The 21,968-nt window shown below is 49.6% G+C and overlaps 1 protein-coding gene across 11 annotated transcripts in view; it reads left to right on the top strand.

The window, feature by feature from the left end:
- MAMLD1 (mastermind like domain containing 1) overlaps positions 1-14,153 on the top strand; it is a 152,602-nt gene extending 138,449 nt beyond the window's left edge. For 6 of the 11 annotated variants that reach the window (XM_047441709.1, XM_024452317.2, XM_011531092.4 and 3 more), the window contains 2 exons: positions 9,942-10,026; positions 11,984-14,153. In XM_047441709.1, the coding sequence (XP_047297665.1) occupies positions 9,942-10,026; positions 11,984-13,053 (1,155 nt within the window). In that variant the 3' untranslated portion in view covers positions 13,054-14,153. Of the gene's footprint in view, positions 1-3,253; positions 3,498-9,941; positions 10,027-11,983 lie in introns of all 11 variants that reach the window. The other 5 variants (NM_001400515.1, NM_001400513.1, NM_001177466.3 and 2 more) reach the window with 1 other exon arrangement.

The raw sequence follows: 21,968 nt of genomic DNA on the forward strand, positions 1-21,968 counted from the left end.
TAAAGTTTATTGAATTTTGCAAGTATTTGCTGAGCCCTTTGCCTGGGCTAGATACTGTCGGGGCACCAGAGGGATTTAGAGATGATTAAGACTTGGCCCAGCAAGAATGTTCAGTCAGCCAAGGGTATTCAGCCACAGGAGCTGGACCTGGAAAGAGAGGCAGAATTTCCAGGGTGGAGGAGCTTCATCTCGAAAGACACACAGAATTCCCAGAGTACAATCATGGAGAAAGGGCATTCCAGGCTTGGCAAACCAAGGAGCACAAGCACAGAGGGCCGACCACACATGGCAGCCTGTCTGGAGAGCTCCAAGGAGATTGGTATGACTGGGGGTACGTGACATTATGGAACGCAAAACCTGGCTGCTGAGAGGGTGGATGTGCTTGCACTTGCATCTCTAGTCTTGGTGCGAGCCATTGGAGGATTTTTCAGGGGAAGGGAAACTGGGCTGACCTGGTTCCAGCAAACTCTCTGACAATCATGAGAAGCCCAGGGTCCAGGGGGATGAGTAAGTGTGACCTCCAGGAAACGGGGCACCACTATCAGACTCTATCTGTCCCATGGCTTACTTCTGTGAGATTCGAAATAGTGTAGACCTTGTCAGTCCATGAGCTAGTAATTATGCCCACCAATTACTGATTTATTTGCCTTTCTGAGATGTGCAGTGATCCCAAGGACAAAGATGGATTTACCTTATGTTTAGAAACTTCTAGAAGTTGAAATGTTCCTAACAACCTTTCCTGTGGAGGTTGTACCTCACACTTAGAGTGTGTGATAAGCAGTTTCTTTTCCTAATTAAATAAAATGGAGAAAAGACACAAGCATCAGCTATAAAGCTCCCAGTCAGTCACAGTCAAGAGACTGAATCTCATCTCTTTTATTTATTTTTTGTGTTAACTGGGGATTGCATTGGTCTGCACAGTGCTTGCTCCCATCCTGCTCCACTTGATTGAGTGGCTCCAGGCCCCCTCTTGATTGCTGCTGAAATAGAACTGCCCACACTGTCGGGGTATCTTCCGCCGCTGGTCATTTCCATGTGCCATCTGCAGTTTTTTCTGCCTGATGGACTACTGAGGCACTGCGTATGTTATGCTGATGGGGGGTCCTGTTTCTTGACCCATCACTAATATCTTGCAAGTCACAGGAAGCTACCAGGGATTCCTGAGCAAAAGCTTAAAATGCTTCAGTTCTCTACAAATAAGCCCCATTCATTGCTTTTAGAGTGTGTTATCATGGAGCAGACAAGTAATCAGAACCTGAGTAATATTTGCATATTGAGGTCTTCAAAACTCCAGTGTGGCTATAAAATGGTATTTAAAGTTATCAAGGAGCTAGGTATGCAGGCAGAAAGAACTGTCCATTGTAGAAAGCAATGCCTCTGCTCATGTCCCAGATAACCTTGCTCCAAGGACAAACTGGAGCTTGATAACATGAAGCTGCAGATGGCCGGTGAGCTCAGCTCTGTACTCACTAACCACCCCATGGGAGGGGCACTGAGCCCTCTATGGTTGGCATAAATCCCATTAGAATGGTAAAGAAATCCTTTTCACAAGTACATAGAAATCGCTTGCTAAGATTTCATGGGTTTTCTTGACTTTGTTGTTTTTGTTTGGGTTTTAGAGGGTGGGCATGAGTCATCTCTAAAACTGTTCAGGTAGTTAGGTTGTCTTCTTATTCCCATTTTTAAGTATTTATAATTTGTTCTTAAAAATTTGTCCGGAGGTCCACACCTCCCCTTGGAAAACCTTGCCTGTACTTTTCTTAATGGCACATTTTAAGTTTCTATGTTTCAAAACTTGCTTATCATATAACATGCTAATGACTAAACACATGCACACCTCCACACCAATGCAAACGACATGTGGGCTTGGGAACGAGGCAAGCCTGGGTTTGCATCCTGCTCTGCCACTAGTGGGCTGTATGATTTTGGGCAACTTAGTTAACCTCTCTGGGCCTCATTGGCCTCATTTGTAAAATAAGGGCAATAATAGTCCCTTTCTCATAGATGGCTATTTATACAGATCGAATAAGACCAAATATTTAAAGAACCTGGGTTAGTGCCTAAAGCACAGCAAATGCTCAATAAATTCAGTGGTGGCAATTTTTATTGTTATTTCAAATATTACATCAAAATATCTACTGAACTATTATCCATTGCAAAGACTTGCCCACAATAGGTGCTTAGTAAGTGTTTATTGCAATAAGTTGAAGTGATTCCAACTATGTAGCTTAGATTTCGGGTATGAGTGTTTCCTTCTCCACTGGGATGTTTGCTAATGGACATAGATGATCACTCACAGCTCAGGTATTAAAAGCAGGAGAGTAGAGGTGTTCCTTCATGTAGAAAGAAGAGCAACTTCTCATCAAGGCAGGCTTCCAGCTGGTCCTTTGGACACCACTGTTGCTAAGCACTTGGTGTGCTCGTCAGGGTACCAGGGCTCTTAGCAGCCACCCATTTGCGTTTTGCAGCTTTTGCTGACATGGATATCAAGTATGAAGTTATTTTAATTGCCTTTGGCTGAAAAAAATGGGTCATATGTTCAATATGTTCAATTCTGGTGAAATCCCTGTCTTCTAAAGCATGATAGAAAGGGGAGGTCCCACCCACACACAAGTCCTAAAATCTTGGGGCCCTAGTGGGGTATAGTTCAACAAGGGCTGCAGCTCAGGACGTGGTTGTTGTGAGATTTACTCGTGACTGTTTGGTTTTGCACTCACCATTTGGTTTTGCAGATTCCTCAGCGTGTTCACACACACATACCTACAAACCAGTTTAGAGTTGTGTGCTCCATTGTGGGGGGTGGTCACTGGGGTGGGGTGGGGTAGGGTGGGATCAGGCTTGGTCAAAGTCATTGCTGATGAACCAGCTATCTGACTTAGCTTTGTTCCCATTTTCAACAAGACAGTGATTTCTCAAGCCAGGGGAGTCTTCACATGAGATCCATGGATGGGTATTAAGTGGTCCAGAAAACCCCCCCAAATTAGATGTAAAATGTTGGTGGGCTGGAAAGGGGGAGACACCATAAGTGCTTTTTCTGTGGAGAGAAACCATAGCTTATAACTGGTTCTCAAAGAAGTCTATGACCCAAGACAAGCTAAGATCACAAAGCTGTTTGGTTTCGTTCCACCAAAGCAGTTGGTGGGTATAACCACAACACCCAGATGACCCAGCTAGACACTCAGGGCAGTGACAAGATCAGTCAGAACCATTTTGTGGCCAAGCAGCTGATGGATTGTTCAATCGGTTGTTGTAGACTCATGTAGACAAAGCCTGCAAGCTTGGGGAAGCCAGGCACCCCCAGGTCAGCCTCGGGCGACAGCCCCCGTCCTGCCAGGCCCTGGGGAGTGAGTCCTTCCTGCCCGGCAGCTCCTTTGCTCATGAGCTGGCCCGAGTCACCTCCTCGTACAGCACCTCAGAGGCAGCGCCCTGGGGCAGCTGGGATCCGAAGGCCTGGAGGCAGGTGCCCGCTCCACTACTGCCTAGCTGCGACGCCACAGGTAAGTCACTTCCCCCTGAGCCTCGCTTTCCTCATCTGTCAACGGGGCACAGTCCCCTGCTCAGCCTGCCCGCCTGCCTCACAGGGTTGTTGGGAGGAACACAGGAGGTGACAGCTCCGAAGGTAAAGCTCTGTCCACCCATGAGGGACTTCTAGTGCTTCCTGGGCCTGCTTGTTCTCTACTTTCTGCCCGGCATTCTTTGGCAAAGGGACAACCCAAGCAAGCAGAGTGCTCCAGGTGCCTCAGCCCCACCTCCAGGGAAATGAGTGGGGGATTGACCAGGGTGCAGCTGCTCTCTCCCTCAGCTGTATGCCTTCCAGTACCCCGTTTCCATACCTACCTGCCTGTCTGTCCCTGAGGCCAGACTGGGAACCTGAGGGGGACAGGGGCTGTGCTTCTGCACCTCCGAAGCCCTGCACCTGATACCTGCCTGCTTGGCACCTAGTGGGTGCTCGGGAACTGCCTCTCCTGCCAGCCATCTGCTGTGGATTCCAAACCCCGCCCAGGACTCCCACACCCTAGAGGCAGGAAGTTGGATTGCCCTGCTGGAGGACTGGCAGTCTGGGTAGTACAGGCAGAAGGAATCCAAAGCAAGCTTGTCCAAGAGGCCTGTGAGTTGGGATCATCCTCTAGATTCTAGAGTCTAGAAGGAATGGCTTGACTTGCCCCCAGAGTCGCATCAGTGGTCATGAGAGCAAGCGGATGGACACCAGCCAGAGGGGACCTTTGCAGAGAATTGCATCTGGTGCATAAAATATCAATGTGCACAGGATGTCTGCACTATCTGCAGAGAAAACTGGAGACATGAACATTTTCTAAGTGATAGTGATCAGAAGATGGTCATTAAGCTGAAAGGGCCTCCCAGGATTCTGGCCTTTAATGGAAATTCGGCTTTGGTATGTACAGCCTTGTTCTCTTTATCCTGCCTGCCCTGGCCTGGAAGAACAAGCAGTGCTTTCCTTTCAAGGGCTATTGATTTCTCTCTCTCTCAGAGTCACAGAGCTCCTCAGCTGTTCACTCTTCAGCTGAAACCAGAGAAATCTTGTCCAGCACAAAGCTGCCAGGGAAACAGAATTAGCAAAACGGACGTCGTCCCCTCAGGATGTCGCTGTTTCCACCCTGGTCTGCCTTGCCTTTCCCTGTCTTTGGAAGCCACAGATGAAAGGATATCAGCTAGCTTGCCTTGAGAATTATTGTCCCTCACCTATTCTCTCTCTTCTCAAGCCAACAGCTTTCACCCAGCAGTGAAGTGGCAGAGCAGATTTGTGGCCCCAAATCTTCTCTAAGAACCTTGGAAATTGGCCCCACCTGAGGGCCTTTGAGGGTCAGGCCTGGCATCCACTAAATCCTCCCTGTCAACACAGCCACTTTGTCAGTCCAGCCTGTGAGTCAGTGCGAGACAGAGGATGCAGGCACCACAGGGGAAGAAGAAAAGCAAGCTGGAAATATATTTGTTTCCTTTGCCCGGGATCATTCCCAGCATCTAAACCAAGTTCTTCCCAGACCGGCCAAGACTGAGGAGGAGTCAGAATAGAGTTTGCAGCAGTCATAGATCATGTGGGAAGACAGAAAACAAAGGGTAAAAAGAATTTCATATACAGATCTCTGCCGTTTGCTTTCAGTGGCATTCATTTTGTGAAGCCCCCAGTGACAGCTTCAGACCAGTTCAAACCTGAGGGCAGCATCATTACCATGGGTGAGGTCTCTAGAAGGGCAAGGAAAGACCCCTAACATAGAAAATGGTGTGGCAGTTTCCAGTTCCCCATTGGGGTCCCATGACTTGACCTTAGGTTTCTGCCAGCACCTGCCCACCCTCCATCCCTTCACCCTACTGGGTGGTCATTAGAACATTATCTGCTTTGATTGATTTACTTGTGTCCATAAGAGTAGAGACACACGGTGTTATCCCCATGCCCGGAACAGAGCCTGGCCCATAGTAGACCCATGACCATGTTTGTTAACTGAGTGACAGAGGGACTGACTGGACTGTCATGTAAGCAATACCTTCCCGTCAGGGTCTTGGGAAGGTAGGTTCAGGGGCCCCAGAGTTACTGTGGCCCGTATCCCTCTGGCTGCATTCTGGGCAACGCAAAAGGGCAGGTGTTCAGTGGGTTCCACCCCAGATCTCGGCGTTAACAGTCCACTGGGAGAAGTGGCCCAATTCGTGCTCATTACTCCCAGTGGTCCTGCCTCCCTGCAGGCATTCTGGAGAAGCTGAGTCACAGGCTCTGAGAGTTAGGGGGAACTTAGGAAACAATCAAAACTTGCCTGCCATTCATTTTAGGAAGCCGTTGTAGTTTCTGAGGGACGACTAAAGGGAATTTTTTCCTAAAAGCATCCATCCGTCCTCCAACTAGGCTTCAGATAGCAGTGTGTATGTTGTCACTATCTATGGGCCATGGCCAGTCAGAGCCCACGGGTCTCAGGGGGCTCCACCCATGTGGGGGTGGGGGTCCCCACAACTCAGATCTTGAATGTGTGGTGGTCCCATGCAGTATACTATCTTCCTGTCATTGCAAAGGGAAAGTCAGAAGGGTGAACGAGTTGTTTCTAATTCTGGCTTCCAAACAGTACAAAAGAAGGTTTTTTTCCTTGTGGAATACACTAGTGCTCAACCTTTGGGACAGATAGCTGAGCACCTTCTGCTGTGTGGCAGGCTGGCTCTCTGTGGGGGCACTCATGGAGCAGTGTCTGCTGGAAAAGGAGACAGGAGTTCCCTAGCATGGAGGGGTAGATAATCTCCCCGCTCCCTCCCCTCTTCTGTCCTCCCTTCCCCTTCTCCCTCCTCCTCTACCCTCCCCTTTTTCCTCTCCCCTCCCCTTCCTCCTCCTCCTCTTCCTTCTCTTCCTCTTCTTTATTCTCTCTCCCTCTCAGTCTCCCCTTCCCTCCCTTCCTTCCTCCCTTCCTCCACATTCTTTATAAAACAAGGCTTTGGATCCATTCACTGCCATCCCCCAGAAGTCTTGTCATTTGAATTCTTGTCTGAGTCAGGATGCTCTCCTCCAAGGGCTCATAGGGCAAGGAACTTCAGCCCGAATCCGGCTAAAATCCAGGAACATTTTGTGGGCATCTGTCTCAGTCCCCGAATCGTTTGTCCTCTGCCTTTCCCCCGTTGGAGTCCTTTTGCCTGCTTAAGTGGTTGAATTGGTAATGAGATCATTCTTCCCATGCAGTGGTGAGAAAGCAGCACTCAGGTGATTGCACCTGGGTAAACAGGAGACATTAGCATGTGGTAGCTGGTGAGTGAAGCTGGTGCAGTGCCTGGCGTGGGCTCAGTTGTGCCAGCAGGCAGTGGTGGAGTTTGGGCTCTTTCCCCTCTCTCCTGCCCAGCACACAACCCCCAGGGACAGGTGGGGGCTTTACAGCTCCCTGGCGTCAGCCTAAAGCTTCTAGAAAGGCATCCCCAGGACTTCCAAGGTTGCCATCTTGGCTGAGACTGTCTGTGAATGTGGTCCCTTGTCTGACAGTGGGGGCTGGGAGGGGTGTGACAGAGGAAGAGCTGGGCCTTAGTTCTCTGGGGGTCACCATGAGAGAAGCACACCTGGGCTTGCATAGAACTCAGTGCTGCTTGTCAGTGTCACCTGGCACAACAGGACGTAGTGCCACAGTTGCAGCCCTAGAAAATTTGACGACCCCTTCATAGCTTTGTTTATAAAAGGCCACACGGCCTAGGCTGTCCTTCATAAGAGAGCAGAAAGCGAGTGTCCCAGTCACTAAGCAGCAACTTTCAGGCACGGTTTCCTCCTGGTCACTGAAACCATTTGTCATTTCCTGTTTTCTCCATTTTCCAACGATTCTAATTGTCAGTGTCAAAAGGCAACAACTGTTTTCTTGGGGCTTATCTTTGGAGCACATTGATTCAGAACAAAGGATGGGAGCCTCCATCTGCAAAACAAAGGAAGCAGCCTCCTCGGGAGGCCTGGAGAGAATGCTCTGGCTCCTTTGGCCAGGGACAGCAGGACCAGCATAGGAGCAGAGGACTGGCGGTGCCTCTGGACACTGCCGTAAGGTGAAGAGACCATGGAGGACCGTCGCTTGCTGGTGGCACCCCAGACTTGAAGATCCTGCAGAGCTGGCCACCGGCACCCAGGCTGGGTGTCAGCAGCGCTGTGTGGCCTTGGCAGTTTCCATAGTGATAGGCTGGCCAGCTTTTCCATTAGACTCCGGGGTCCTCTGGAATGTGTGCTTCCCGGGATGAAGACGCCCCAGCACCCGCTGAAGCCTGCCCTGCCCCGGCGTGGCCTTTCCTTTTGTCTGGCACGCCCCTGGGCTTGGCTTTCTCTTTCCGTCCCTCCCTTCGGACTTTACCGCACTTCCCCTGCTGTTTCCTTAGTCACACTCTCCAGCCTCCATCTGCCCCTGCCCCTGAACCCCTACCTCTGTACAACTGTGTTATTTGATGAAACTAATGCAGCAACCGGTGGGGATGGAGTTAAGGACCGTTTAGACCTAGCCAGCCACGCAGGAATCTGTCCCCAGAAGCAGCGGAAGCACCTGGTCTGCAGTTAGGAGATACTGTACTTCTTAGCCGTGTCACCTTGGGCAAGTCATTTAACCTCTCTGAGCCTCTGCTGTCACATCAGTAAGCTGGGGACTGTAGATCTTCTGCCCTGATGTCCTGAGACTGGTACAAGAAGAGCCAAAGCGAAAGGACTGCCTTCAGAAATGGCTGCCAACCCTGACCATCTCAGGCAGATCCGGATGGTGTGGCCTTGGGCAGTGGTCATGTGACCCCCATGCTCCTCAGTGTCCACATGGGGTGTTGCTAGATGACATAAAATAATGGGTGAGACGTGCTCAGTATAATGAGAGCTTGAGAAGGCAGATCCCACCCCCCATCCCCACCCCCACCCCTTGCCGCCTTGCCAATGCTTTGGCAGGGAGAGGGCAGCTCCATAGGGCAGCTGAGAAACAGCCCCTCACTGCCCACACGGCAGCTCCAGTGGAGGGGGAGGCAGGGACCAGGACAGGAAGCAGGCTAAGGGCGGGATAGAAAAGCAAACCCCAGTCTGGTGGAATCGCTTCTGGTGTAGTCTTCCCGGTGCCATGTGTTTGTCCTCTCTGCCTTGGCAGGAACCAAGGCCAGGAACTGCTGCCAGGCCTGAGAGCCGGGCACAGTCCCAAGCACTGGGTCGCTACCCCGCCCCACTCCCACCAGCCCCACTGAGTGCAGAGAAGGGTTCCCAGAAGCCCTTTGCTGGAAAAGCAGGCACTGCACGGGCAGCCCGTGTTGTAGAGGCAAGTCCTCTGGCATCTTCGGGGGGACACAGACCAGAAAGTGGACTTGGAGCTTGTGCTCCCAGACAGAGCTGCCTTGGTGGTTGAGAAGGGGAGAGAGATGGCAGCAGTTGAGCAGAGATGGCCGGGCTCCCCTCACTGTGTGGGGTGAGGCTTCAAGCACTGGACTGGGAGTCAGACCTGGATCCGAGTCACAACCTGACACCAACTGGCTGAGGGTCTCAGAGCAAGTCATGCCTTTTCTGGGTCTGGGGGCCTTCATGTTATTCCCTCCTGGCTATGTTCTTCCCCTTTGCTCCTTGAGCCGATCCCAGACTGAGTGCTGAAACTGCGGCCTTGAAACTTGGCTCGCTCCTCCCCCTGCCCACCCAGCCAGCTTTCAGATGGAGACAGGAAGCTCCTCCCAATTGCCTATGCTGCAACTAGTCAGGAGAAGGGCGGGAGGTTGGCAGTAAGTGTTTGGCTACTCCCAGTGTTGGAGACTGTGTCCACCTGACCATGTGATCATCTGGCCGTTCATGCCAGGACCACCAGGAACAAGCCTCAGTCCTCTTCTCAATGTCCTTTCCCTATGACAGCCCTGCAGAGGCTAGGTATCCACCACTACATAGCCCACAGTCTGCTCTGCCCCAGCCACAGCATCCTTGGCTTGCTCAGCCATTCTTTGTCTGGGTAGTTTGAAGTCCAATCCCCACTCTCATTACTTACCATCCTCTGAATGCAGCCAGTCTGTCTGGGTCTCCCTGAGACTGGCATGCCCAGACTCCTGTGGGTATAGTCTGGCCAAGGCAGAGTTAGCATAGGACTGTCACCTCCCTCCTTCTACATACTCTGCTTCTATTAATGCAGCCTAATGTTACATTTGTTCTTTTGGTGACCGCATCTCACTGCTGACCCATCCTGAGCAGATGGACATCCAAAATGCCTAAAACTTTTTTCTGTGTGCTCTTGCTATTAAGTTCTGTCTCTCCTGCCCCATTCTATGCTGTTGCAGTTGTGTTTTTAACCCAGGTGCAGAATCTTACTTTATTTATACCTGTGGAATTTTGCTCGAGAGGGTGGGGCATGCATGCGAGTGTATGCTGGTGTGTTTATTCATGCTTTCTGCTGCACCAAAGCCAAGTCCTAGGTCCCCACGCAGCGATCCTAAGGCTAATTATTAATTGGTAGCTGTAATCTAATTTGTCTTTTTCATCTTCTGTTTAGCAAGAGGAACAGAGATCAGGTCTTATGGCAATGACCCCTGAACGGCAGAATGCATATATCTCCCAACAGATGAGTCCATTTGAAGGTAAGCAGTTAAGGCCAGTGTTCCCAAAGGGGTGGGCAAGGGGTGCATATGTGGAAGTGGGGTGAGAATTCATTTCAGAGTAAGCAGTTACTGTGCTTCTGAAAGCATTGAGAAAGAGGAGATCTGAAAATCAGTTAAATAATTCATCCAACTCTAAGAGCAGGATCCCAATTGAAGGCCTGGTCTAAATGACTCCAAAATCACCACTTAATTCAAGAGACTGATTTCCCTGAGTCAGGCCCCTTAAAGCAGCTATTTCAATGGGACAGGGAAACAACCCTAGGATCTGGATTAGAATCACTTGGGGGCTGCCACACCCCCAGGGCTCTGATCCTGCCCTTCTCCCACACGCACATTCACATACTGCTGCAGTGACCTTCCATTTCTAATGGGTTCCTGGGCCATCTGTCAGGTATAGGGAATGGAAAAGGGGTTGGGGAGGCTCTGCTTCAGAAAGTTTGTGTCAGGGGCTCCCAGAGCCTCCACAGATAGATAGCAGGGGTCCCCACCCTACCATGGCAGCTATAAATGTGATCAACATTTATTGGCCTAGGATACAGCAGTTAGCAAAATGCCTGATGTAGTTCCCACTCCGTGGAGGTTGCAGGCTAGCCAAGAAGTCATGAGTTCAGCAACCCTTACGCACCAGTGGGATGAGATTGGACCAGGCCGAGGGTAGTCTTGGGAACACTCAGCATTTGTCTGAGGGCCAGAAGAGGCTGCTTGCCCTCAGACAGGAGGTCAGCATCTTTATTGTAGCCCATGACACCTCTACACCATTGCTCTTCTGGTCTTATGGAAGACATCTTTGGGCCTGATAACAGCGGAGTCTGTGTCCCACTTGTCCAGGCTGGAGTGCCACATCAGGCACACTCCAGTTGCAGGGACAGCACAGACAAGTTTCAGGAAGGCTGGTGGCCTCCAGGAGGTTAACCTTATAAGGCCAGATTGTAACCTAGTTGAAAAACATACACATGCCATGATAATAAAAGAACCTAGGCACCATTACAAGAGAAAAAATCATTTTTGTAGATACGAGCATGGATTCTTGGGTGGGTCAGACACACTGGGCTTGTGCTCTGACTGCACTGTCTCCCCTACCTGACCTTGGGTAAACCATAAGACTGCTGCATGACTCAGTGTCCACCCCAAAAAAGTACCGGTAGATATTGGCCACAGTAGATATCAGCTAGAGTGGACTCTCATGACAATGAGGGGAGATGTATTCCCCATCTTAGGCACCTGGGACTCTACCTTCCATCTTCTGCTCCGTGTCTCTCCATCCCCAGGCTCTTCAGAACTCAGGGAGTCCAGAATGTCAGCTCCCAGATTTCAGCCTTCAGAAAGGAAACCCATTACCGTTCAGTTGAACAAATGTTGTCTGAGCCCCAGATCTGGGCTCAGAGGCCATCTAGGCTATGAGACAAGAGGGGAACAAAGCACCGTCTGCACTCACTCACCACACTCACTTGCTGTCCCAGGTCACATCCATCGGGTAGAGAATCTAAGAGGCTGAGCTAGCTCCCGCCACCAGCCCAGCCCACCCCACCTGGCCCCTTCCTTCCTTCTACAAAATATGCACCACCTGTCAAAGGGTGGGCAGTGCCAGGCCTGCATACAGAGCACTGAGTGTAAAAGCAGACATGGACCCTGACCTCCAGGAGCTTCCAATTTTCTTGAAGAGACAAATCAGCTGGCATTTCAGTCCAGTGTGATCTGCTCTTGGTGAGCACAGACCTAGGGAGTTGGGGCAGCTTCCCAGAAGAACTGCAGTCCAGGCTGAGGGCAGAGAAATGAGGGGAATGGCGAGGAACTGGGGAGCAGGGGGGAGCTCAGTAGAGAGCCAAGGGCGGGAGGTGAGAAGTCCGTGTTGGGCCAGGAGCTACCCTCCGGTGGCCACAGCCCAAGTCGAGGATGCCTTTGGAACTCATCCCCACTTCTCTCTTTCTGTATGTAGCCGTCCAAGAACAAGTCACCTCCAAGTGTAGCCGGATCAAGGCAAGCCCCCCATCTAGCAAGCACTTGATGCCACCCAGAACTGGGCTTCTTCAGAACAATCTGAGTCCAGGAATGATCCCACTCACCAGGCACCAGAGCTGCGAGGGCATGGGAGTGATCTCACCAACTCTGGGGAAGCGGCAAGGAATTTTCACCTCCAGCCCCCAGTGTCCCATCCTCTCACACTCAGGCCAGACTCCCCTGGGCAGACTTGACTCTGTCTGCCAGCATATGCAGAGTCCCAAGGCCACCCCACCAGAAGTGCCCCTGCCTGGGTTCTGTCCCAGCTCCCTGGGCACCCAGTCCTTGAGTCCCCACCAGCTCAGACGGCCTAGTGTGCCAAGAATGCCCACTGCGTTCAACAATGCTGCATGGGTCACAGCGGCAGCAGCTGTGACCACAGCAGTTTCGGGGAAAACACCCCTCAGCCAAGTGGATAATAGCGTTCAGCAGCACTCACCTTCTGGCCAGGCCTGCCTTCAGAGGCCATCTGATTGGGAGGCACAAGTGCCCGCTGCGATGGGAACACAAGTGCCCCTGGCCAACAACCCCAGCTTCAGCCTGCTGGGCAGCCAGAGCCTCAGGCAGAGCCCGGTACAGGGCCCGGTGCCTGTAGCAAACACCACCAAGTTCCTCCAGCAGGGTATGGCCAGCTTTAGTCCCCTGAGCCCCATACAGGGCATCGAGCCACCAAGCTATGTGGCTGCTGCTGCCACCGCTGCTGCTGCTTCTGCCGTTGCTGCCAGCCAGTTCCCAGGTCCGTTCGACAGAACGGATATTCCCCCTGAGCTGCCACCTGCCGACTTTTTGCGCCAGCCCCAACCCCCACTAAATGATCTGATTTCGTCACCTGACTGCAATGAGGTAGATTTCATTGAAGCTCTCTTGAAAGGCTCCTGTGTGAGCCCAGATGAAGACTGGGTGTGCAACTTGAGGCTGATCGACGACATTTTGGAACAGCATGCTGCTGCTCAAAATGCCACAGCCCAGAATTCTGGGCAAGTCACCCAGGATGCTGGGGCACTTTAAATCTGAGCAGGATGCCCATAGAAACCCCCATGGTGACATCACTCTAGGAAGTGGTGTCGATCCATACCCGCAGTTGTCTCCCGTTACAATTTGAGTGGTGTTGTCAGCCCATGCTTATCCCTCTCTCTACCTGTGACAAAATGGAAAGCTGGTGATTTTTCAAGCTACGTGTACATATTTGAAAATTTTGTAAATGGTTTTCCTAAACATTAATGACAGAAGTATTTATACTTCATTTTGTGACTTTGTAAATAAAGCGACGGCTTTTGTTTCAGTAGAGTTGTGTTTACTATGCATTGTTTTGTGTTTATTATACAATGTTACAAATATGCAGACCGTGTTGTTTGCTCCAGTGATACCTTGTTAAGCTAGGTGGCTGAGTCGCTTATGGTTTTAATGCAATGAGCAATGTGGATATGACCAAGAGTTGTTGTGCAAGTTGACAAATGCCAAATAGAAAACCACTTGGCCATTTATTTCTATGTTCACTAAAAATCCTATTGCCTTGTGTGATTCTTAATCTCTTTTGCGAACCTTTCAGTCTCCGCTAGCTCTTTCCTAATGAGCTTTACAGCAGAAGCCGTTTTATCGTTAAGTGCCCCACAGAGACACTTTACCAGGAGGCTGGGAGAGTTCTCCAGATTTGGGAGAGGCGCAGAGACAGTGTGTGAGCCGAGCCCTGTCTCAGCAATCCACCTGGAGGAGCTAGAGTATCCTCCTCCCTTTACCATTCAGACCGAGAGAAAAAGCCCAGCTTGTGTGCACCCTCGTGGGGTTAAGGCGAGCTGTTCCTGGTTTAAAGCCTTTCAGTATTTGTTTTGATGTAAGGCTCTGTGGTTTGGGGGGGAACATCTGTAAACATTATTAGTTGATTTGGGGTTTGTCTTTGATGGTTTCTATCTGCAATTATCGTCATGTATATTTAAGTGTCTGTTATAGAAAACCCACACCCACTGTCCTGTAAACTTTTCTCAGTGTCCAGACTTTCTGTAATCACATTTTAATTGCCACCTCGTATTTCACCTCTACATTTGAAATCTGGCGTCTGTTTCAAGCCAGTGTGTTTTTTCTTCGTTCTGTAATAAACAGCCAGGAGAAAAGTGCCTCTATGTTTTTATTTTTCAAGGGAGTATTCAGTACCTACAAACCCAAGTCAGGAAGCCTGCTAGTGGCTTTGGTTCTTTCAGAGGCTGCTCGATGCCTTGTGTGTCAGAAAGAAAGATTCAGCAGTTTTGCATCATGGCAAAGAAGCCTGTTATTTTGGGGCTCAGCCCCTCATTTTATAGAGGATGAAACAGAGGGGGATGGGAGGTCACAAAGACAACTGCCTCGGGAGCAGGTGTGGGGGAGACTTGCCCTGAGGGTCTAGACTCTCTGCACCACCGTCCTGTCTCCCTTGCTGAAGACCACACATGCCCTTCTTTGACCAGACCCTGCCACCTGATAGGCCAGGACCTGGTAGGCGGGTACCCAGGTTTCATGGATGGAACCACATCTCCCCAAAAGTGGGGAGGTAGCTACTGGGATGCACGCCTCCCGCCATGTGCTATAGGAGAGCAGCTGAAGCAACAGTTGGGATCAGATGTAGTCACAATTGAATGCATCATCACATTTATCCCTCTAAGTGGCTGGGAGAGTTGATATCCTCATCCCTAAGGTACAAAATGTTCCAATTTGATCAGTGGCTTTCAGGAGCTGAGAAAGGCATGTGCTCTGAGGCAGAGCTGTTATGTCCCGCAGAGCCTAAAAATGCTCTAAGAACATGCTCCCTGCCAAAATTCTCAATGGCTGTGACAAGGGACAACGATCGACCAATGGGGGTGGAAGCAGACCTCCGCAGTCCAGGGGCCAGAGCTAGGACAGAGGGGTCGGAGAAAGAGTCATTTTCCCAACACTCCAGCTCTTGGCCAGTCCTCACACAGTCCCCTCCTGCTTCCTGCTGAGAGAGATATCCTCATAGGTCTGGGTAAAGTCCTTCAGTCAGCTTTCATTCCCTGTCACCAACTTTGTCTCTGTTCTCCCTGCCCGTCTCAGGCAGCACTCCTCAGGAAACCTCTCCAAGAGCCAGCCTCACTGCAGCGCCCACTATTGTCCCTCTGCCTCAAGTGTCCCATCCATGCCAGGCCCCAGGCAGGCTGCAGCTTTCCCTCAGGGCCACACCAAAGCACTTGGGCTCAGCTGTGCTGTCCCCCTCCATCACTGAGCTCAGGGGCAGCAGGGGTGGGGTGCCAGGAGGCCCATTCACCCTTCTCTGGCTCTGTGTTGGACCCACCTGCCCAGCCACTGCTGCTTAGAACCTACCCGCTGGGAAAATGAAGCCCTCCCGGAGGGGCCACCTCAACCTGAGAGCCTCACGGATCACAGTTGTCCCCACTCAGCTCTGCCAGCCCTCAGAGACCCACAGATAAAAGCTGAGCTTGGCTCGCAGAGCTGGTTCCATCTTCCATTCCCAGAGGGTTCAACTTCCTACCCCAACCACACAGGGAACCTCAAGGCTGAGCCAGTGTGGGCTGCAGTGCAGACCAGCTTCCTGGACACGTCCTGCCACCTGACCCCAGGCTGGCCTCACTGCCCCTGGCACTCCTGACCCTATCCTCATTCCTCCTGGCAGTGCGTGTTCTGCCATTCTGCTTTCCCTTAGCTGTCCTCTCACTGTACTGTCAGCTTCTCCTTTTCCAGGTGCCCCCCAGGGGCTTTCCACATGACCCTGTCACCCCACAGCCCATCCAGCACCAATTCCAGCTCTCTGCCACCCTTCAAAGGAGTGACAGTGCCCTGCTTCACCTCCCACTCACCCCTCAACCCAGAGCAATCTGGCTCCAGTCTTGCCTCCTTCCCCCTAAGTACTCTAGTCACAGTTCCAAATTCCTCCTGGTCATAAAGCCAAATGAAGCTTCCTGGTCCTCAGCGGACTTGCCACTTCAGCAGTACTGGACTCTCTCCTCCCAGAAACCTGTTTCCCCTTGGCTCCTGGAGCCCACACTCTGCTGGAATCCTTCTGCCTCTCTGGCCTGTAGCCTGGCCCTCTCTCCCAACCTGAGGTCCATTCTCTCCTGCTCCTCCACAAGATGTTGCTCCTTCCATTACTTCCTCCCTCTCAACCAAAGCTCCTTCATTAGCTCTTTATCTTCTGGTTTCTTCCCCTGGGCAGACGAATGGATTCAAGAGCCTGTGGCCCAGCAGCCCAGCACTCCAGGATCTCAGCACTTCAGCATCCCAGTACCCTAGCATCTCAATACCCCAGCACCCCAGCACCATAGTATTCCAGCACCCCATTGTCCAAGCATCTCAGCACTCCAGCATCCCAGCACCCCAACACTCCAGCAGCCCAGAATCTCAGCACCCTAGCACTGCAGCATCTCAGGACCCCAGCACTTCAGCATCCCAGCACACTAGTACTCCAGCATCTCGGCACCCCAGCACCTAGGCATCCCAACACCCAGCACCCCAGCACTTAAGCATCCCACCACTACAGTATCTCAACACTCCAGCACCCCAGCACCATAGTGTTCCAGCACCCCAGCATCCCAACACCCCAGCACTTAAGCATCCCAACACCTCGGCATCCCAACACCCCAGCACTGCAGCATCTCAGCACCTTAGCATCCCAGTGCCCTAGCATCTCAACGCTCCAGCACACCAGTACTACAGTATTCCAGCACCCCAGCACTCCAGCATCTCAGCACTGCAGCACTGCAGCACTCCAGCATCCCAAAATCCCAGCATCCCAACACCCCAGCAGACCAGCAGACCAGCATCTCAGCACCGCAGCATCCAAGGACTATCCCAGCATCCCAGCAACCCAGCACCTCAGCATCCCAACACCCCAGCATTTCAGCATGGCAACACCCCAGTACCCCAGCACTTCAGCACCCCAGTATCCCAGCATCTCAGCGACCCAGTATCACAAAACCTCAGCATCCTAGCACCCCAGCACCCCAGCACCTTAGCACCTTAGCATCCCAGCATCTCAGCGCCTCAGCATCTTGATATTCTGGCTGAGGTCAGCGTGGTGTATCTAGTCAGGGTCCTAACTTTCACTTCGCAGGGAAATGCTGCTGGACTGGGTCTCATGTTGGGCTGAAGCTCTCTAGACCCCTTGAAGACAGCATAAAAGAGCTTGGAGACGCTGGGTGTCCCCCATGGAAGAGTTCACTCTCATCCTGCTTTGACAACAGCCTTCTCTGGGGTCCCTCACGGGCCCCTCTTTCTTACTGCAAGTTTGTCTCTGAGAAGACTGTGATGCAGAAGTCACTCAGCTGCCTGTGGCTCCTGAAGAGCTGAAGGTGGAGGCCTGTAGGCCTCCCTATGAGAGGCGCAGAAAAAACCATGATTGCTAGTGGGGAGGTGCTCCCTCTACAACCCACTCCATAATCTGCCCCCGCCCAGCTCTGAGGCCAGCCCCAGGGGAAAATGCCAGATCCCCAGGGAGGTGTGTGAGACCTCAGGGGCTCCCTCCTCCCTTACAGCAGGCTCAGGCCCCTGGGGGCCTCAGGGCCAAGGTCTGTGGGTAAGCTACTATCTCTCACTTGTCCTCTAGCCACAAAAGCCAGGGGGATCTGGCAATGGACATGAGGTTCTGAAGAAGCACATATGACTGGCTTCCTAATGCGTGGTTGTTCAGTGATTCAATAAACACGCATGGGCCAGGCATGGGGAAATAGACAAACATGATCCCCAACCTCTCCCAGAGTGAACTGGGAGGGAGGAGTGTTCATCCCTCAGGATTACACCAGAGAAACAAACCAGCAGGAGATATATATGGTTTTGGGGGGTCAACAAAGAGGAAAAACCTGGCAAGGCAAGTCCAAAATCATAGGACAGGCTGTCAGGAAGGGCAGCCTGGAACCTCTCAAGCAGGAGCTGATGCTGCAGTCCACAGGCAGAATTTCTTCTTCCTCGGGGAAATCTCAGCTTTGTTCTTAAGGCCTTTCAACTGATTGGCTGAGGTCTGCCCCTTCCCCCACATTCTCCAGGATAATCTTCCTTACTTAAAGTCAACTATTAATCACAGCTACAAAATCCCTTCACAGCTACACATAGATCAGTGTTTGATTGACGAACAGCCCCTACAGCCTAGCCAAGTTGACACATAAAACTAACCATCACAGGGGGACAAATGATGTAAACACATCAACAAATAAAACAGTAACAAGTTAAGGTCTATGGAAAAAACACAGAAGGGGCAGAGAGAAAGAAAGCAAGAAGGAGAGTCCCAGTTTGCTAGGGCTTGTGGGAAGTGGGGAGCAGTTCTCTTTAGCTAGGATATTTGGGAAAGGCATATCTGAAGGAGTGATATTTGAGCTTAGATTAAAAGATGGGAAGGAGCAAGCCATGCAAAGAGCTAGGATGTTCCAAGCAGAGACGGAACAGCAAGTGCAAATGTCAGGAGGAATAGAAGGAGGCTGGTGGGTGGGGTCCAGTGAGCAAGAGGAGGGCAGGCAGGAGAGGGGATGGGGAGGTGGGCAGGCCCAGACCACCCAGGGCCCTGGAGACTATCCTGATCCAACAAGGGAAGCCTTGAGTCACTTCAGTGTCCATGTGGAGAATGGACCTCAGACTGAATGAGGGAGGCAGTAAGGAGGGCCTCTACCTCCAGGGCTTCGCCCTGTGGACTGCGCATAGACATCTCCAACTCAGAAAGTCTGAACCAAACTTTCCATAGTTCCCCCAAGTCTGGGCATCCTCCTACTCAGTGAAAGGCAGCCATCACACCTCCCTGCCCTGCTCCCGGATGCCCCAAATCCTCTTGGTCTCCAAGTCCAGAACCTGAGACTTGTCCTTGATGTTTGTCTTTCCCTCACCCTTTCTGTATTCTGGGAAGATGGGGTTTTTTCCCCCAGATGAATCTGTAAAACTTCTGTGATCACAATAAAAATTCTGGCAGTATTATTTTCTGGAACATGACAAAGTGATTCAAAATTATTTATCTGGAAGACTACAAAACAAGAATAGCCAGGAAATTTCTAAAAAGAAAGAAGAAGGAGGAGGAGAAAGAAGGAGGAGGAAAAGGAGGAGAAGAAGAAAAGAAAAAGAACCAAGAAAGGGTTCTAGCTCTACCAAATATTAAAACATATCATGAAGCTATTTAAAACAATATGGTTGTGGATACTGAAAAAGATGTGAATAAAGTGGAAGGAAAATAAATAGAAATGCACATGGGGATTGAGACTGTGAAAAAGGCAGCATCTCACATCAGTGAGGGATGTTCAACACCTGGTGTTGGGAAAACTGGCTAGTCATTTAAACCAAACAACTGGGTCCTCTACCTCACTCCTGACATTAAGATACATTTAGATGATTCAAAGAGTAAGACAGAAAAAATAACACGTGAAAACACTATCAGAAAACAACGTGGGCCAGGTGTGGTGGGTCACGCCTGTAATCCCAGCACTTTGGGAGGCCGAGGCAGACAGATCACCTGAGGTGGGGAGTTCAAGACCAGCCTGACCAACATGGTGAAATCCTGTCTCTACTAAAAATACAAAATTAGCTGAGCGTGGTGGCGCATGCCTGTAATCCCAGCTACTCAGGAGGCCGAGGCAGGAGAATCACTTGAACCTGGGAGGCAGAGGTTGTGGTGAGCCGAGATCACGCCATTGCACTCCAGCCTGGGCAACAAGAGTGAAAATCCATCTAAAAAAAAAAAAAAAGCCAAGGTGGATATTTTTATAGTATCAGGGTAGATCAAGCTTCTCCAATCATGACATGAAACCCAGAAACCATAAAAGAAAAGAATGATAAAATTGCCCACGTAAAGTAAAAAGCTTGCACACAGAAAAACACCATACAGGTTACAAGATGAGCAGCAAAATCAGAGAAAAAACATTGCAATTCAGGACACACAGAGGCTATTGTTCCTAATATTTAAAAATAAAAGTAGTGGATTGTCTACAAAAAGATGAAGACAAGAATTTCAGAAAACCAAATACTGCATGTTTTCACTTACAAGTGGAAGCTAAACACTGAGTACACGTGTACACAAAGAATGGAACCATAGGCCAGGCACCGTGGCTCACGCCTGTAATCCCAGTACTTTGCGAGGCCGAAGCGGGCGGATCACCTGAGGTGAGGAGTTCGAGACCATCCTGGCCAACATGGTGAAACCCAGTCTCTACTAAAAATACAAAAATTAGCCGGGCGTGGTGGTGGGTGCCTGTAATCCCAGCTACTCGGGAGGCTGCGGCAGTAGAATCGCTTGAACCCTGGAGGTGGACCTTGCAGTGAGCCGAGATCGCACCACTGCACTCCAGCCTGGGCAACAGAGTGAGACTCCATCTCAAAAAAAAAAAAAAGGAATAGAACAATAGACACTGGGGCCTACTTGAGGGAGGAGGGTGAGGATCAAAAACCTGCCTATCAGGTACTATGCTTATTACCTGGGTGGTGAAATAATCTGTACACCAAACCCCAGTGACATGCAATTTACCGATGTAACAAACCTGCCCATGTACCCGCTGAACCTAAAATAAAAGTTGGAAAAAAATATAGAAATTTTCTTTGTAATAGCCAAAAACTGCAAACAGCCCAGGTGTCTATTAGTAGAATGCATAAACAAACTCGGGCATGTTCATACAATGTAAAACTACTCATCAATAAAAAGTGATACTTCTCAGCAATGAAAAGAAACTAGCTACTGATACCAGCTACAACATGGATGGATTTCAAGTGCTTTATGATGAGAGCAAGAAGCCAGACACAAAAGTGTCTATATATATATACATATATACAGTATATATATACAGTGTATATACTGTATATATACACATATACAGTATATATATACAGTGTATATACTGTATATATACACATATATACAGTATATATTGTATATATATACACAGTATATATACACATATATACAGTATATATATATACAAGTATATACTGTATATATACATATATACAGTATATATGTAAATATACATATATACATGTATATATATACACTATATATATACATATATACATGTATATATTTACTATATGATTCCATTTATATAAAGTGCCAAAACAGTCAAAAATAATCTATGTGGAAAAAATCAACAAAGGGATCCTCTGGGTGACAATGGGGTTGACCGGAAAGGGGCTAAAGGGAAGTTTCTGGGGTAATAGTAGGGTCTATATCTTGATAGGGTTATGGGCTACCCAGGTGCATGTATGTGTTTGCCAAAACTCAGAGAATGGTTTCCTTAAGAGCTGAGCATCTGCTTGTAAGTAAATTTTACCTACAATAGAAAAATCTGAAATGAATATTGAACTCTAGTTAATGATCTGCTGGAGTGCTTAGGGATGAAGTGTACTGATGCCTGCAACTTACTTTCATTAAATAAACAAAGATGGTTGATGAATGGATAGAGGGATAGGTAGAGAAATAGGTGATAAAGCAAGTAGAGTAACATCTTAATTGTAGACTCTAGGAGCAGGGTCTATGGGGATCCACTGTACCTTTCTTCACACTGTTCTAAATATTTGGAGATTTTCATAATAAAATATTGGGGGAAGATAATTTTTAAATACAGAGGTACTTTTCAAGTACAAATCCAGCAATTTGAGGTGGAAGAAAACAGCCAGAGACCAAGTTTGTATTTGGGAGAAGAAAGAGGGATGGCATTTAATTTTCCTACAACCGCTTTTCTGAAGCCAGTATAACTTAGCATGAAACCAGGGGAAGAATTCAACAGCTACTTGTGAATGGATAGAGGGATAGGTAGATAAATAGATGAAATGAAACAACCAAACAGAATAGTTCACCTATTCTGACAACATTTTACAGAAACTGACTCAACCCGTTGTTCAGCTGTTTTGCTCACCTGAATTAACCCTGTATTTTTCATATTTTCAAAATTGTTCTGTTTAAAATTGTTTCCATTTTTATCTTCTTAGTTAAATTACCTCAATAAACATTTATTCAT

The sequence above is a fragment of the Homo sapiens genome, chromosome X, assembly GCF_000001405.40.
Source record: "Homo sapiens chromosome X, GRCh38.p14 Primary Assembly".
NCBI lineage: Eukaryota > Metazoa > Chordata > Mammalia > Primates > Hominidae > Homo > Homo sapiens.